Genomic DNA, 16,949 nt, shown 5'->3' with positions numbered 1-16,949 from the left:
CATCTATCCCATTTTATGGAAATTAAGTTTAATTTGAAATAAGTCTTCAAATCTCTTTTGTACTGCCTTGAGTGTTTATTAGTTATGGGGATTTTGTTTGAAGGAACAATTTTTAAATGAATTTTCCCTGCAAATTTTATTAATTTCTATGAGATCTCTTAATATCTTTGTTCTTCTTAGAGTTAAATGGTTAAATTTTATATTTTCAGCAATGACGGTGCCTCATATCTTAGATCTTTGGCTGGTATTTTTAGTGCCCTAGTATTCTTAGAAGAATTCCACTGTTAATGGTGTTACCATCTCTTGCCAGGTGATTCACTGATTTTCACCAATCCATTAATAAGAGAGTGTTGCAACTAGGAATAAATCTGGTCACATGAATGGATCTTTCTGTGATCAGGGAATGGCATGTATTGTTCTTCATTGGTGGTATGAATATTATTTGTAGTTAACAGTTTAAAATATCAAATTGAAAGTTCTGATCCAATTATAAAATATCTTAAATTGACAAAGACTTACTGCCATTTTAATATAGTTTCTGCTTATTTATATGTGTATTATATATAATATATATTGTTATATGTACACATAAATACACATAATATAATTATGTGTACTTATATACATAATTATACAGTTGTAAATGCCAGGAATCTATAATTTGATTTTTTAAAGTGATTTTTAATATGTGGCTTACAAAAATAGGTTTTGCATTGAACTACATGTATTTGACTGTACCATCAGGTGTGTTTAAAAGGATGCAGGGGGCCTGTTTTCATAATTATATACACAATTGTGTTAGCCTTTCATATCCTAAAGCTTTTAAATGAAAAAATATAAGGCTAGTTAATTAGTTCAACTAGCCTTTGAATGAATAGCAATACAGTGTAATACTTAAAGGCTCAGACTGTGGAGTTAGACTGCCTAGGTTTGAATCCCAGCACTGTCGACTCACTGGCTGTATGACCTTGTTAAGTTCTTTTGAGTTCTATGTCCTTTAGTTTCCTCACTTGCAAAATGAGAATAATATCAGTACCTATTTTATAAGGTTGTTGTGAGGATTAAATGAATTAATATTAAAACATTTAGAATAGTGCCTGGCACATCCGTACTAACATCTAAGTGTATATTAGCTATTAGTTTTGCCAATATTAAATTTATACATAAATGTTGAAATTTATTGTGAAGGAAAAACTATTTGTTTTGTAAATATAAATTACATTTGCATTTCTTTTAAAATATTTTTATATAACTGAAAACAGTAAGCTAAAGTGAAATTTTATACACTTTTTATGAAAGCTTTCTTCACAATAATCCTTTTTTCCTCTTTCTTTTAGGCACGGAATGTTAACACTGGTGAATTAGCAGCAATTAAAGTAATAAAATTGGAACCAGGTAAATTGTTTGAAATTCATTTTTTCTTACTGCTAGAAAGCCATGGGATATCTTAAGGCTTATTTTAATGATGTTTGGTTAACATTCTCTTGTTTTCCCCAACATCTGGGATAAATAGAGCTGCTTGTATGCCCTTTCCTCCACTTCTTCAAGTTCTGCATACAACACACCTTGCTCAGTTCTTCCCTGAAAAGTAACTGATAATTGGGGGAGGAAGGGGAACTCCTCCTGAAAAGACTTTGTTCTTTCTGAACTCAGTTGAGCTAACTTGTGACAAGCTGATAGTGGTTTATTTCCAGGCTGACGTCTTGTGGTGTCAGTGTGATGTAGTGGAAAAAACAGAACTGAAATTTAGGTAGTTGTAGTTCAGTTTGTCTCCCACTCCCTTGCTCTGTGAACTTGGGCAAATAGCTTCATGTCTCTGAGTCTCAGTTTTTCTCAGGAGATCTAGCTTCCACATTCTGTATTTCATTGCTATCCCAGCAGTTGTCTACCAAATTGAGCAGCTTATTGTAAAGCCCCTTAAGGCTACTCCTTATTTTTTGTCTGCTTCAACTATGTTCTTTGAATTCCTCCTACTTCCCTCAAAACCCACATTTTTCTTAGCTAATTACTCACTCTTTGTTTATTCTCTCTTAGAAACCCCTTCCCACTCTTTCTCCTTCCCACCATAAGCAAGTCTATAATTGTGCTAGTGTCTAGACCGAGTACCACAGCAGTTAGTGCCTTTCTGATGACTTCTTCCTTTACAAGCTGATAATAAGAGTTTATTGGTGAAACAAGTTTTAGCTCCAGTATGAACAGAAATCCATTCAGAGACTTTGCAAGAGTGGAAAAACTTTTTCTGTTTAAAAAAAAAAAAAAGGCCAAATAGCCAATACTTTAGACTTTGTAGGTCATGTATGGTCTCTATATTCAGTTCTCCCTCTTTCCCTATAGTTTGCTCACCCCTTATTTAGAGCATCAATAAACTTTTTAGAAGTGATATTAAAATGAAAATTTAAGGATGTGCTGATTGACTGTGATCAAACCACACATAAATAAAATGAATTAAAAAAATTTTCCAGTTATACATATTTACAGATTTTATGTAGTCGTTATATTCTAAACATCGCAAGACAAGATGTTTATCTTTTTTCTGAATCTCCTACTCTTCAATTCATAAGAAATTTAAGAAGGATATTTGAAGTTGTTGAAATATTAGCTACAAAAAGAAATTTGGCATTTAAAGCAGGGCCTTCATTTTTAATCATTAAGCAGTGACTGTGTTACTTAATGAAATGGTTCTAATGAGAAGTATTTTGTGTATACATCATTCCCTCAAGAAACCTTCTCTTTCAGGAAGCCTTGCTTGACCCTGGGTCTAATTAAGATGACTCCTGAGTGATTAGCTCTGCTGTAGCACTGACCATAGCTATATTGTCATTCTAGACTTGCCTTTCTTTGTTTCTAAGTTTTAATCAAATTTGTGCCCCCAGCACTGAGCTTAGGGCCTGGCACATAGTACTCATTCTGTACATCTTAAAATTTCCTTAAAAAATTAAAAACTTGAAAAAGCTTACTGTTCAAGTCAATTATTTTCTGTTCATGAAATGTTCAAGTTGTTGCACTGTCAGTCTTGGACACTGCCATGTGTATATTGATCAATGTAATAAAAGTAGAATATACAACTATACAAAAGGAAAAAAATAAAAATCATTCATATTCTGCCACCCAGAGAAAACAAAGGTTAATCACCATAAATATGTTTCCTCTATTACAGCTACCCATTTCCCCCCGCCACCAGTTATTTTGATCCCTCAATCATAAAATTCCAGCCCATAGTATTTCTGTGTATATGCCTAAAGTATAAATACTCAAAAAGTGTAATCACAAACAGGAACCCTCATACACAGCTGGTGGAAATGTAAAATGGTGCAACCACTTTGGAAAACAGTTTGTCACTTCCTTAAAGTGTTAAACATAAATTTGCCATAATGACCCAGCAATTCTACTCTTGCATATCTGCCGACACAATGATTGTCATGCACAAATGTTTATAGTAGCATTATTCACAGTATGTCTCAAAATTGGAAACAGTCTAACTGCCCATCAACTGGTGAATGAATATGTTGTGTTCATACAATTGAATACTATTCAACAATAAAAACAAGTTGCTGATAGCATGCTGTAACATAGGTGACCAAAACGTGCTAAGTGAAAGGAGCTAGACACACAAAACTGCATACTGTATGATTCCATGTGAAAGGTTCAGAAAAGGCAAATCTGTGGTGTCAGAAAGTTAATCTGGTGAGCTGGGGACGAGGTGGACTAACAATTATTGTACGTGAAGGGTCTTATGGGAATAATCTAGTGATGGTTGTACAACTTGGTAAATTTACTAAAAGCACCATTGAATTATACACTTGAAATTGCTGAACTATCCAATTTAAACGTATGCCTTAATAAAATTATTAAAGATACGTAACTACAACCATTAACAACATTACAGTTCTTTATTAATAAGACCTACGCTTAGCAAATAGTTGCTACGTTATATCTATAGGTTCCCACTTAATTTCTTTTTATCTTTTTTCCTTGTAATTTTCTGTGGAAGTAACTCGATCATTTATCCTGTAAAGTTCCCCCCCAGTCCAGATTTTGCTGATTGCCTTGTTGTAGCATCATGTAATATATTCTTTGGTGACTTGATAGATATCTCTAGAGAACTGAGTAGACTCCGGTTTTATTTGGGGTATGGAGGAGGGAACTACTTCACGAGTGGTGTTACGCTCACATTTTTCTAAGGTAGAGGGGTGTGTGTGTGTTTAAGAGACAGTGTCACTGTAGCCCAGGCTGGAGTGCAGTGGTAGGATCGTGGCTCACTGCAGTCTTGATCTCCTGGGCTCATGGTATACTTCTACCTCAGTCTCCCAAGTAGCTAGGACTGCAGGCGTATGACATGACACCCAGCTAATTTTTATTTTTTGTAGAGACAGGGTCTCACTATATTGCCCAGTTTGCTCTTGAATACCTGGTCTCAAGAGACCTCTCACCTCGGCCTTCCAAACTGCTAGGATTACAAGCATGAGCCACTATGTCTGGCCTAAATTAGAGTTTTTGATGGCTAGTCTTCCATTTTTTGGAAACAAAAATTAAGTCTGAAATAGTCTAGTGCAACATGTTGGATTTTAAGAATTTCTGTCTAGAGTTTGTTCCTTTTTCCTTTTTTTACAGCTGATAAGCAATTTGAACCTGAAGCAAAATAAAAACTTACGCAGACCTTTTGACCAAATTGTTTAAATGTGAAGTTACTCCAAGGTGTCTGACTGTTGCTTCTCATCTTAATTATGCAGCTTTAAATTTAAAAAATTTAAAAAATTTTGTTTAATTTTTTTTTAATTTGTGATGGAGTCTTGCTCTGTTGCCCAGGCTGGAGTGCAGTGGCCCGATCTCAGCTTACTGCAACCTCTGCCTCCCAGGTTCAAGTGATTCTCCTGCCTCAGCTGCCCGAGTAGCTGGGATTACAGGGGTGCACCACCACGCCCGGCTAATTTTTGTATTTTTAGTAGAGACGGGGTTTCACTGTGTTGGGCAGGCTGGTATTGAATTCCTGACCTCAGGTGATCCACCCGCCTCTGCCTCCCAAAGTGCTGGGTTAACAAGCGTGAACCACCGAACCTGGCCTAATTTATTTTTAATTTTAATTTTTATTTTTTATTGTTTTGAGATAGAGTCTCGCTCTGTCACCCAGGCAGTGGTGTGATCTTGGCTCACTGCAACCTCCGCCTCCGGGTTCAAGCAATCTTCATGAATAGCTGGAATTACAGGCATGCACCACCATGCCTGGCTAATTTTTGTATTTTTAGTAGAGACAAGGTTTCATCCTGTTGGCCATGATGGCCTCAAACTCCTGGCATCAAGTGATCCGCCTGCCTGGGCCTCCCAAAGTACTGGGATTACAGATGTGAGCCATTTTTAATTTTCGTGGGTACATAGTAGGCATATATATTTCTGGGTTACATGAGCTATTTTGATACAGACACGCAATGCATAATAATCACACCAGGGTAGATGGATATCTGTCATCTCAAGTATTTATCCTTTGTGTTTCAAACAGACCAGTTATACTCTTCCAGTTATTTTAAAATGTATGATTGGATTTTTTGTTGTTGTTGTTACTAAAGTCACCCTGTTGTGCTTGCAAATACTAGGGCTTATTCATTCTTTCTAATTTTTTGTACCAATTAACCATCTCCAAATCCCTTCTACCCCCCCACCAAGCCCTGTAAGCTTCCCAGCCTATGGTAACCATGCTTCTACTCTCTATCTCCTTAAGTTCAATTGTTTTGAGTTTTAGCTCCCACAGATAAATGAGAACATGTGATGTTTGTCTTTCTGTGCCTGGTTTATATCACTTAACATAATGACTTCCAGTTCCACCCATGTTGTTGCAAATGGCAGGATCTCATTCCTTTTAATGGCTGAATAGTACTCCATTGTACGTATGTATCACATTTCTTTCTTCATTCATCTGTTGATGGACACTTAGGTTGCTTCCAAATCTTGGTTATTGTGAATAGTGCTGCAGTAAACATGGGAGTGCAGATCTCTCTTTGATATACTCATTTCCTTTCTTTTGAGTATGTATCTAGGAGTGGAATTGCATGATTGTATGGTAGTTCTATTTTTAGTTTTTCGAGGAACCTCCAAACTGTTCTCCATAGTAGTTGTGTTAATTTACATTCCTACTGACAGTGTAGGAGGGTTCCCTTTTCTCCACATTCTCACCAGCATTTATTGCCTATCTTTTTGATAAAAGGCATTTTGAATAAGGGGAGATAATATCTCATGGTATAGTTTTGATTTGCATTTCTCTGATGATCAGTGATGTTGAGCACCTTTTCATATACCTGTTTGCCATTTTTATGTCTTTGAAGAAATGTCTGTTCAGATCTTTTGCCCATTTTTAAATTGAATTAGGGTTTTTTTCCCCAGTGGAGTTGTTTGAGCTCCTTATATAATCTGGTTGTTAATCCCTTGTCAGATGAGTAGTTTGCAGATATTTTCTGCCATTCATGGGGTTGTCTCTTCTCTTTGTTGATTATTTGTTTTGCTATGCAGAAGCTTTTTAATTTGATGTGATCCCATTTGTCCATTTTTGCTTGGTTGCTAGTGCCTGTAGGATATTGCTCAAGAAATCTTTGCCCACACCAGTGTCATGGAGATTTTCCCCAATGTTTTCTTGTAGTATTTCCATAGTTTGAGGTCTTAGATTTATGTCTTTAATCCATTTTAATTTGATTTTTGTATATGGTAAGAGGAAGGGGGTCTAGTTTCAGTCTTCTGCTTATGGATATCCAGTTTTCTCAGCACCACTTATTGAAGAGACTGTCCTTTCCCCAGTGTATGTTCTTGGTATCTTTGTTGAAAATGCATTCACTGTACATGTCTGGATTTATTTCTGGGTTCTCCATTCTGTTCACTGATCTATGTATCTGTTTTTCCAGCAGCATGCTGTTTTGGTTACCATAGCTCTGTAGTATAATTTGAAGTCAGGTAATGTGATTCCTACAGTTTCTTTTTTTTTTTTTCCTTAGGATAGCTTTGGCTATTTTAGGTCTTCTGTGGGTCCCTAAAAATTTTAGGATAATTTTTTCTATTTTTGTGAAGAATGTCATTCATATTTTGATAGGAATTGCATTAAATCCTTAGATTCTTTTGGGTAGTATGGACATTTTAACAATATTGATTCTTCCAGTCCATGAACATGGAATATCTTTCCATTTTTTTTTGGTGACTTCTTCAATTTCTTACATCAATGTTTTATGTTTTCATTGTAGAGATCTTTCATTTTTTTGGTTAATTCCTAGGTGTTTTATTTTATTTTATTTGTAGCTATTGTAAATGGAATTTCTTTCTTGATTTCTTTTTCAGATTGTTCACTTTTGGCATACAAAAATGATACTACTTTTTGAATATTTATTTTGTGTCCTGCAGCTTTACTGAATTTATCAGTTTAATAGTTTTTTGGTGGAGTCTTTAGATTTTTCCAAATATAAGATCATATAATCTGCAAACAAGGATAATTTGACTGCTTCCTTTGCAATTTGGATGCTCGTTTATTTCTTGCTCTTGTCTGAATGCTCTACAAAAATTTAATATATAAATATATGTAATATATATTATATGTATAAAGGGATCAATTCAGCAAGAGGATGTATATAGATAGATGTGTGTGTATGTATACGTATATATATACATATATATATATAGAGAGAGAGGATATATATGTAGTGACCTTCTTAGCTCTTCTTAACAGTTTCTATTTTGAAATCTTTTTTTTCTGATATAGCTACTCCTGTTCTTTTCTTGTTTCCATTGGCGTGGAATATCTTTTTCCATCCCTTTATTTTAGTCTGTGTATCTTCATAGGTGAAATGTGTTTCTTGTAGGCAACAGATCATTGGGCCTTATTTTCTTATCCATTCAGCCACTCTGTTTTTTGATTGCAGAATTTAGTTCATTTGCATCACATCAGTGCTCAAAAAGTTGTGGATTTTGGAGCATTGTGTATATCAGATTTTTGAATTAGGGAAATTCAACGTGTATTGGCAAGAGTTAAACATTCCACTCTTTCCTGGAGAACCTAAGTCACTTTGACATAGAGAAGCAGTCTTGATTTACATCCCAGATGGCAGAGCTTCAGGTAAGAGACAGTGTTCACATCCATCGTAACTTTGTTGCTTATAAGGACAAAGAACCTTGGGTTCATTTTATAATCCAATCCTGAAGTCTGCCCCTTTACATACAGCTCTCCTTTGCTCTAAGCCTATCAAAACACCACTTCATTTAAATTTCACCTCACTTCCATTTTATTCAAAATATTACAAAAACTCTTATCTTTTCTTTTGGTGAGATGCCCTAAGATTTCTCTGGCGTGTAGTTTTCCTCATTGCAATGGGTCAGTAAACCTGAATTTGTCAGATGACGGGTTTGTTCCTGTGGTCTGTGGCTGATCCGGCTAGAACACTGCCAATTCTTGAGACTTATTTGGGAAAAAAAAATTAAAAATGGATCAAGATGAGAGCTATGGCAGAGCTTGCTAGTAGAATAGAATTTATATATATATTCTTTGGGGCTTTATTTTCAAGTTCTGATAAGGTGTTATTATATAAATAAGTTATAGATCTGGAATCTTTTTGTGATTTAAAGTCAGAATTTAAAAGTTACTTATACTCATTTGTGGTATTGTTTGCAGCACTAGTTATTATAATATGATACAAATGCAGATAGATAACAGTGATTCATTAGGTAGCAACTCATAGGAAAAACTCTTCTAAATGGGGAAACTCATTCCTTTTCCAACACAATGAAAACTACTGAGGTTGATAAACAGAGAAACTTGTAGTGAGAAAATAGGGTATTATGCTTTGTTTCCGTGAGAGCAACATGCGTTAAATTGTAAAGCTAAATTTTAAAAGTGCAAAAAAGTACCAATAAGACCTTATTCCACTATTTTTTCATGGACCTCCAAAGTTAAATGTTATGGAATATTCTCTCCTGCCAGCCTTTGACATTAGTTTTTTCTTTCCTGAGAGGTAGTAGAGGTGCTTTCTGCCTCCTTATCTTTCATCATAGAGTGGCGAAACATTGGGGATATGATTTATCTGGTGCCTTTTCCCATCTCCCTTGAGTGTTTTTGTGGATCCCTTGCCACCATGTGCTTATTCAGTGCTGCCTTGTGTTTATCGCCATCATGAATAGAGTAGTTGTTACATCATTCATGATAATTATTCTTCAAAGGTTAATCATGGATAGCTTAGTCACTCTTAAATTTATTAGAATCATACTATGACTTGAGGCTGACTGAGCTGGAGAGATTGAATATTTACACATTGAAAGGTAATAATGCTCCAAAATAAAAAAGCAACTGACAAAGGACTTTTTGTTTTGTTTATCTGCAGTGTATTTCTTATTCTCAGTCCTCTGTTTATGACCAGTGATTTGGCTTCAAGGATGTTTATTTAGTACTTAATTTAGTTAGAAGGAAGATACGGAGATATGGTTCCTGCCTTCCAGTAACTTGTTATCCAATGTGAAAACTAGAATGTTTATGTAAGTAGCAGCCTAACTACGGAGAACCCATTGAGCAGAGTGTGTGTGCATATGTAGGTGGTGGTGCTGGCAGTAAGGAACGGTGATGGCTGTGACTAGAAAGACTTAATTCATGGGTCACTGAAGATCCGCCTTTGACTATTTACTCCGAAATACTCTGGGTTGGGAATATCTAGGTAGGATGCTGTGTGAAAGAATACACATAGTGCAGAGTGGCTGATGTAGCCTAACTTATATTTGGTGGGTTCCATAGAAGCTGTGAGTTCCACTTCCCTTGGGATAAGGAAGTAAAACTTCAGATGAGCCTTCAAGACTGGCTAGGATTTTGCTAGTAGAATAAGAGAATGGAGGGTATTCCACATGAGGATAGTATAAAAGCAAAGGTAGTATGAAAGTACTAGGCCTGTTTGGAAGTAGTAGTTTGATTTGTCTAGAGTAGTATGCTCTATGTGAGCATGGTGGGAAATAAGAAGTGGAAAACTGATGATAGTTTATGGAAAGCCTTAAATACTAGCCCAAAGCAGCCAGGCCCAGTAGCTCACGCCTGTAATCCCAGCACTTTGGGAGGCCGAGGCGGGCAGATCAGCTGAGGTCAGGAGTTCACGATCAGCCTGGCTTGGTGGCTCGCACCTGTATTCCCAGCTACTTGAGAGGCTGAGGCAGGAGAATCACTTGAACCTGGGAGACGGAGGTTGCAGTGAGCCAAGATCACACCACTGCACTCTAGCCTGGGTGACAGAGCAAAACTGCATCTCAAAAAAAACAAAAAAAAAAACTAGCCCAAAGGTTTAGATTTTACCCTGTAAAACAGTGGGATTTCGTTTGTTTTTACAGGTTAGTAACATGGTCAGAGTATAACTGTAGGCAGATTCAGTGTACACAGGCAGATGGGAGAGAAGCCCTGCTGGTGAGAAGACATGTTACTGTTGTGACAGCCATGCTTGAGTTATGTGCAGAGGGAAGGAAGGGGTGACTGCATGAGATTTTAGGGTGGATAGAACTTAAAACGTGATTGATAGGTTACAAGGGATAAGGGAGAGGTACGATATATGTAAAAATTGAGTTTATGGGAAGAATAGGTTTGTTGTTTTGATTTTAGAAACTCATTTTCATGAGTTTTATACAGCTGTGGTTTATGCCTATGTAACCTCAAGAACAGATCAGGAGCTGCTAAAAAAAATTATCTTTAAATCAGATCTGGTGAGAGAACAGAAAGTTGAGAAATTAAAAACGTCCAAAATTAGAACTATTTTATTTAACTTTTTTTCTTTTTTGGGATTTTTTTTTTCTTTTTCTTTTAGAGACAGGATCTCACCCTGTCACCCAGGCTGGAGTATAGTGATGTGATCATAGCTCACTGCAGCCCCAACTCCTGGGCTCAAGCGATCCTCCTGCCTCAGCCTCACTACTGGTTGGTATTAACAGGTGTGCATCACCACACCCAGCTAATTTTTTAGTTTTTTTTGTAGAGACTGGGTCTCGTTGTGTTGCCCAAGCTGGTCTCAAACTCCTGGCCTCAAGTGATTGTCCTGCCTTGGCCTCCCAATGTTCTGAGATTACAAACATGAGCCACTGTGTCCAGCTAAAACTATTTTAAACAATATGTCATTGTTCTTGTTGGTGGGCATGATAAAAACAGAAAATTTTTTGCCCATTGTATTCTTCACTTCCCTTAAAATCTACACCGTGCTCTATTTTTCCTTTTTCTGTCCTTACTCCAGAAACATTTTTTGAGTCTACTATAATACTTACTTTACATATAGAAACTGTAGGGTTGCTGCCATAATTTTTAGTAGGCAGGGGGCGCGATATACTCCAGAGGATTTTCACTAGAAATTCAGTCCTGAGTTACGGGTACCTTCCTTATTTTGGGCCTTCCATCAGAACCACTCGGGTAAACCTGGCTCTCAAAAGAGCTGGATCCAGGTAAGAAAAGGAGACCAAACAGGTTTATAGGTCAGGAAGCTCAAGTTAAGCCCTCCTTCCCTGACTACCTGGACACAATCCATTTGCACTAGAGAATGTTTTCTCAAATATTCCTTTAAAATAAGAAAGGAGTGGAACTGGTTCTTTGGGATGAAAAAAATCTTAATTCTTTTTATGTACAAAGCACAGATATATGTATGTATATATGCATAATACATAAACATGCAGAATATCTGTGGTATTAAAATTTCTTGGGGAGAGGCATTAGGAAAACAGAGTTGGGAAACACAGCATTAGGGTAGACATTTTTTCTTTTTATCTTAAAGTTGAGGTCTCACTATGTTGCCCAGGTTGGATCAAACTCTCACCTCAGTCCCCCAAATATCTGGGACTACAGGCTTCCAACACCATGCCCAGCTCTAGAGTAAGACTTTTTTTTTAGGGAGCCAGGGCCATGGTTTCTTTCTTTTCTTTTTCCTTTTCCTTTTCTTTTTTTGTTTTTTTAGATAGAGTCTCATACTGTCACCCAGGCTGGAGTGCAGTGGCACAGTGACAGCTCACTGCAGCCTCAACCACCCAGGCTCAGTCAGTCCTCCCATTTAAGCCTCCCAAGTAGCTGCGACTACAGGCTCACACCACCATACCCAGCTTATTTTTAATTTTTCTACAGATGAGGTCTCACCATGTTGCCCAGGCTAGTCTGAAACTCCTGGGCTGAAGCAGTCCACCTGCCTCAGCTTCCTAAAGTTCTGGGACTACAGGTGTGAGCCACTGTGCCTGGCTTCTTTTTTTGTTTAGATAGTTTGAGCAAGGGAATTTCTACTTGGCTTTGTGGAACCCAAGTTCAAAGGCCATTCAGTAACAATGTATGTAAATGTAAGTGATACTTATCTTAAACATTAATCAAGAACACTTACTAAAATACAGCCAAACAAATAAATAGACTCTAAGTTATTTTTATCAGGTGAAGTATTTGAAGGGTTGTTTTCTTCATTCTCATTTCTGAAAAAAATACAAATATTGCTGTTTTAATCATTTTTTCATTTGTTTTGAAATAAGTAGGAATCAATAGGATTATTAGATACTTCCTTTGTATTTCTGTGTTATTGATCAGGGCTTTAATATTTCTTCAAAAATTCAAAGTTGGGTGCTGCTTCTGTGGTTTTAGAAAAGTTTTTTCTAATTTTATGTTGTAATTACTTAAGCCAATTTCTTATCTTTTTAAAGATTAGCCAGTGGGTTTCAAGATACCCTGATAATTTAATATAGTGTTTCAGAGTATTTCCTGGTACTCCAGTAGTTTGACACAGTAATTGACAACTTAAGAGAAGTTGGAATGTTAGCCATAGATTACTGTGTAAACCAAAAAATAAAGTTCCAAGGCCTCCCAACCATCTAAACGAACCCCTCCACTGGGCCAAAGGCATTCCGAAGTTACCCTGAAAAATTCAGGCCATGATGGAAGCAGAGGTGGAACTACGCCCTCTTCCCTTTCTGAATTCAGGGAAAGCTGACTGGTATTAACATCAGTACAGATCTTACATCTCAAGAGAAACATTTCTTCGTCTGAAATTTCGTCTGAAACATTTACGTCTGAAGAGACGCCTACTACCTGGAGGTTTCATCTGCATGATAAAACCTTGGTCTCCGCAACCCCTTATCAGAACCCAGACATTCCTTTCTATTGATGATAACTCTAAACCAATTGCCAATCAGAAAATTTTTAAAATCTCCCTCTAACCTGGAAGCCACCACCTCCACCCCCACCCCACCACCCTGCTTCAAGCTGTCCCACCCTTCTAGATCAAACCAATGTAAATCTTAAATGTATTTGATTGATGCCTCAGGTCTTCCTAAAATGTATAAAACTAGGCTGTACCCTGACCACCTTGGGCATATGTTCTCAGGTCTCCTGAGGACTCTTTCATGGGCCATTGGTCACTCATATTTGGCTCAGAATAAATCTCTTCAAATATTTTACAGAGTTTGACTCCTTTCACGAACAACTGAAGTACTGTTAATTTCATTTATTGTTTCTACCATATGAAATGGAGTTTAGAAATTATGTATTTTGAATGACACCACACATGAAATTAAAAGTTAATTTGAAATTGACTTTAAAACACTTTTACATGTAACGTAGATGTGTGTTCTCACTTCTCTGTGTTTAAAATAGAATGGAAATGGGAAGATTTGAGAGTGAAATACCCATAACAATGGCATGAGAAACCTTGTTGATTTTTCGTAGTCTAAGCTTACATTTTTCTCTTGGCTATAGGACATTTTAAAAATTACTATGGGCCGGGCGCGGTGGCTCACGCCTGTAATCCCAGCACTTTGGGAGGCCGAGGCGGGTGGATCATGAGGTCAGGAGATCGAGACCATCCTGGCTAACAAGGTGAAACCCCGTCTCTACTAAAAATACAAAAAATTAGCCGGGCGCGGTGGCGGGCGCCTGTAGTCCCAGCTACTCGGGAGGCTGAGGCAGGAGAATGGCGTGAACCCGGGAAGCGGAGCTTGCAGTGAGCCGAGATTGCGCCACTGCAGTCCGCAGTCCGGCCTGGGCGACAGAGCGAGACTCCGTCTCAAAAAAAAAAAAAAAAAAAAAAAAATTACTATGGCGTAACCCAAAAATAAAATTCTAAGCCCCCCAACCGACTGATGGAGGCTCTCCTCAGCCAAGGGCATTCCAAAGTTAACCTGAAAAACTAGTTCAGGCCATGATGTTACCATCATAATGAGACTCCGACATCCTCATTATACCCTCCTCCCTTTGGAATTCAAGCTCAGCTGACCAACATTAACATTTAAATAGAGATCTTAAGACTAGTGAACAGACTTTTTATAGCAATAAGACACAGAATTCCAGCCTGACTCTAGTATAGCATCACATGACAGATAGCAGGCCCTGAAAGAAATAGAAGTATTTTATCCCAAGTATATTTCTTTGATATATTTTGAAATGGTCCTGCAAAGCCGTCTCTTGTGGGGGAAATCTGTATTCTATAGAGGATTCATTTTTCCTTTCCAGGTCTTTTTCCTGATCCAGGAGAGAATTAACTGAGTCTGGCACTTCATAGGTCTGACAAAAGCTCTGAAGTCTGCTACCTGGAGGCTTCATCTGCATGATAAAACCTTGGTCTCTGCTACCCATTATCTTTTTTTTTTTTTTTTTTTGAGACAGAGTTTCTCTCTGTTGCCCAGGCTGGTGCAGGGGCACCATCCTGGCTCACTGCAAGCTCTGCCTCCTGGGTTTATGCAATTCTCCTGCTTCAGCCTCCCAAGTAGCTGGGATTATAGGCATATGCCATCACGCCTGGCTAATTTTTGTATTTTTAGTAAAGATGGGGTTTCACCATGTTGGCCAGGCTGGTCTCGTACTCCTGGCCTCAGGTGATCCACCCACCTTGGACTTCCAAAGTGCTGGCATTACAGGCGTAAGCCACCGCACCTGGCCCACCTTACACGTTTTGATTGATGTCTTATGTCTCCTTAAAATGTGTAAAACCAACCACTTTGGGCACATGTTCTCAGGATCTCTTGGAGCTGTATTACAGACCACTGGTCATTCATATTTGGCTCAAAATAAATCTCTTCAAATATTTTAGAGTTTGTCTCTTTTTATCAATGGTGGTAAAAACACGTCACATGATACCTATTCTCTTAACAAATTTAAATATTTAGTACAGTATTGTTAACTATAACCATTATGTTATACATTATGCTCTAGAATATTTTCATCTTGTGTGACTGAAATTCTTTACACATTGAACAGCAACTCCTAATTCTTACTTCCCCCAGTCTCTGGCCATGACCATTCTGCTTCCTGGAGTGCAAATGTCTCTTTGAGATTCTAATTTCAGTTCTTTGGGGTATATACCCACAAGTGAGATTGCTGGATCATATTGCATTTCTATTTTTAATATTTAGAGGAACTTCTGTACTGTTTTCCATAGTGGCTACACCATTTTACATTCCCATCAACAGTGGACGGGGGTATTCATATCCTGGACAACACTTGCTATTGTCTTCTTTTTTTTTTTTTTTTTTATAATGGCTATCTGAACAGGTGAGAAGTGACATTATGTTTTTGATTTGCATTTCCCTGAAGACAGTAATGTTGGGCATCTTTTGATATAGATCTGTTGGCCATTTGTATATCTTTTTTTGAGAAATTTCTGTTCAAGTCCTTTGCTCTTAAAAAAAAAATCCCCAGTATGATTACTGTATAAATGACAAAAATTGTATACTGTTTGTTTACAGTTTACAACATGGTATTCTGATGCATATGTATGTTGTGAAATGATCAAATCAAGCTATTTCATATATCCATCACCCATTCAACCATAGCTCTTTTTTTTTTTTTTTTTTTTTGAGACAGAGTCTCACTCTATTGCCCAAGCTAGAGTGCAGTGGCACAGTCTTGGCTCACTGCAACCTCCACCTCCTGGGTTCAAGCAATTCTCCCACCTCAGTCTCCAAAGTACCTGGGATTACAGACACCTGCCACTATGCCCAGCTAATTTTTTGTATTTTTAGTGGAGTCTGGGCTTTGCCATGTTGGCCAGGCTGGTCTCAAACTCCTGACCTCAGGTGATCCACCCACCTCGGCCTCCAAAAGTGCTGGGATAACAGGCATGAGCCACTGCGCCGAGCCCTTTGCTCGTTTTTGAATCCAGTTATTTGGTGGGTTTTGTTTTGCTGTTGCATTGTAGGAGTGCCTAGTAACCCCTCATCAGATATATGGTTTGCAAATATTTTCTTACATTCCATAGGTAGTCTTTTAATTCTGTTTCTTGTGCTGTGCGGAAGCTTTTTAGTGGTGGAATTTCAGTTGTCTGTTTTTGCTTTTGTTGCCTGTGCTTTTAATGTCATATCCAAGTAATAATTGCCAAGACTAATATTATGAATGTTTTGGCCTGTGTTTTTCTATAAGAGTTTTATGGTTTCAGGCCTTGCATTTAAGTATTTAATTAATATTCAAGTATTTAATAAATTAAAGCTGAATTTTTTGTGTATGTAGGATAACGTCCAATGTCATTCTTTTGCATGCTGCCATCCAGTTTTTCCCAGCACCTTTGTTGAATACTGTTTTATCCCATTGCATAGTCTTGGCATCCTTGTGAAAGAGGATTTGACCTTATATGCATGTGTTTATTTTGGGTTTTCTTTTCTCTATTCCGTTGGTCTATATGTCTGTCTTTATGCCAGTGCCATATTGTTTGATTGCTGTAGCTTTGTAATATGTTTTGAAACCAGGAGTGTGAGACCTCCAGCTTTTATTCTTTTTTCTCAAGATTGTTTTGGCTATTTGGCGTTCTTTGTGGTTCTATCTAAATTTTAGGATTGTTTTTTCTATTTCTGAAAGAAAAAAGTTGCTGTTTGTTCTCCAGATTACATTGAATTTGTAGATCGCATTGGGTAGTACGAACATTTTAACAATGCTCTTTCAGTCCATAAACATGGCATGTCTTTACATTTATTTTTCTAATTAAACGTTTTGTAATTTTCAGAGTACAGGTCTTCCTCCT

At 37.4% G+C, this 16,949-nt stretch overlaps 1 protein-coding gene across 5 annotated transcripts in view, besides 4 other annotated features; it reads left to right on the top strand.

Moving 5' to 3' along the window:
- The window catches only part of MAP4K3 (mitogen-activated protein kinase kinase kinase kinase 3), a 188,020-nt gene that overhangs the window by 57,825 nt on the left and 113,246 nt on the right, over nt 1-16,949 (top strand). For 3 of the 5 annotated variants that reach the window (NM_001270425.2, NM_003618.4, XM_047446091.1), the window contains exon 2: nt 1,338-1,395. The exons of the other annotated variants lie outside the window; for them this stretch is intronic. In NM_001270425.2, the coding sequence (NP_001257354.1) occupies nt 1,338-1,395 (58 nt within the window). The remainder of the gene's footprint in view (nt 1-1,337; nt 1,396-16,949) is intronic. 5 annotated transcript variants of the gene reach the window in all.
- Nucleotides 10,003-10,176: a silencer, noted in NCBI's record as "fragment chr2:39596426-39596599 (GRCh37/hg19 assembly coordinates)". NCBI's record gives its function as "represses an EF-1alpha promoter that drives an FKBP-Casp9 reporter gene in an ReSE screen in K562 erythroleukemia cells {active_cell/tissue: K562}" and the evidence as "EXISTENCE:reporter gene assay evidence [ECO:0000049][PMID:32094911]".
- Nucleotides 13,630-14,196: an enhancer, noted in NCBI's record as "OCT4-NANOG-H3K27ac hESC enhancer chr2:39592406-39592972 (GRCh37/hg19 assembly coordinates)". NCBI's record gives its function as "activates a minimal SCP1, AML or CMV promoter by ChIP-STARR-seq in primed H9 embryonic stem cells {active_cell/tissue: H9 hESC(primed)}" and the evidence as "EXISTENCE:reporter gene assay evidence [ECO:0000049][PMID:30033119]".
- Nucleotides 14,197-14,763: an enhancer, noted in NCBI's record as "OCT4-NANOG-H3K27ac hESC enhancer chr2:39591839-39592405 (GRCh37/hg19 assembly coordinates)". NCBI's record gives its function as "activates a minimal SCP1, AML or CMV promoter by ChIP-STARR-seq in primed H9 embryonic stem cells {active_cell/tissue: H9 hESC(primed)}" and the evidence as "EXISTENCE:reporter gene assay evidence [ECO:0000049][PMID:30033119]".
- Nucleotides 14,764-15,330: an enhancer, noted in NCBI's record as "NANOG-H3K27ac hESC enhancer chr2:39591272-39591838 (GRCh37/hg19 assembly coordinates)". NCBI's record gives its function as "activates a minimal SCP1, AML or CMV promoter by ChIP-STARR-seq in primed H9 embryonic stem cells {active_cell/tissue: H9 hESC(primed)}" and the evidence as "EXISTENCE:reporter gene assay evidence [ECO:0000049][PMID:30033119]".

This window comes from Homo sapiens, chromosome 2 (assembly GCF_000001405.40).
Source record: "Homo sapiens chromosome 2, GRCh38.p14 Primary Assembly".
Lineage (NCBI taxonomy): Eukaryota > Metazoa > Chordata > Mammalia > Primates > Hominidae > Homo > Homo sapiens.
Note: the sequence above shows the minus strand (reverse complement) of the source record. Positions and strands in the feature narration are given on the sequence as shown.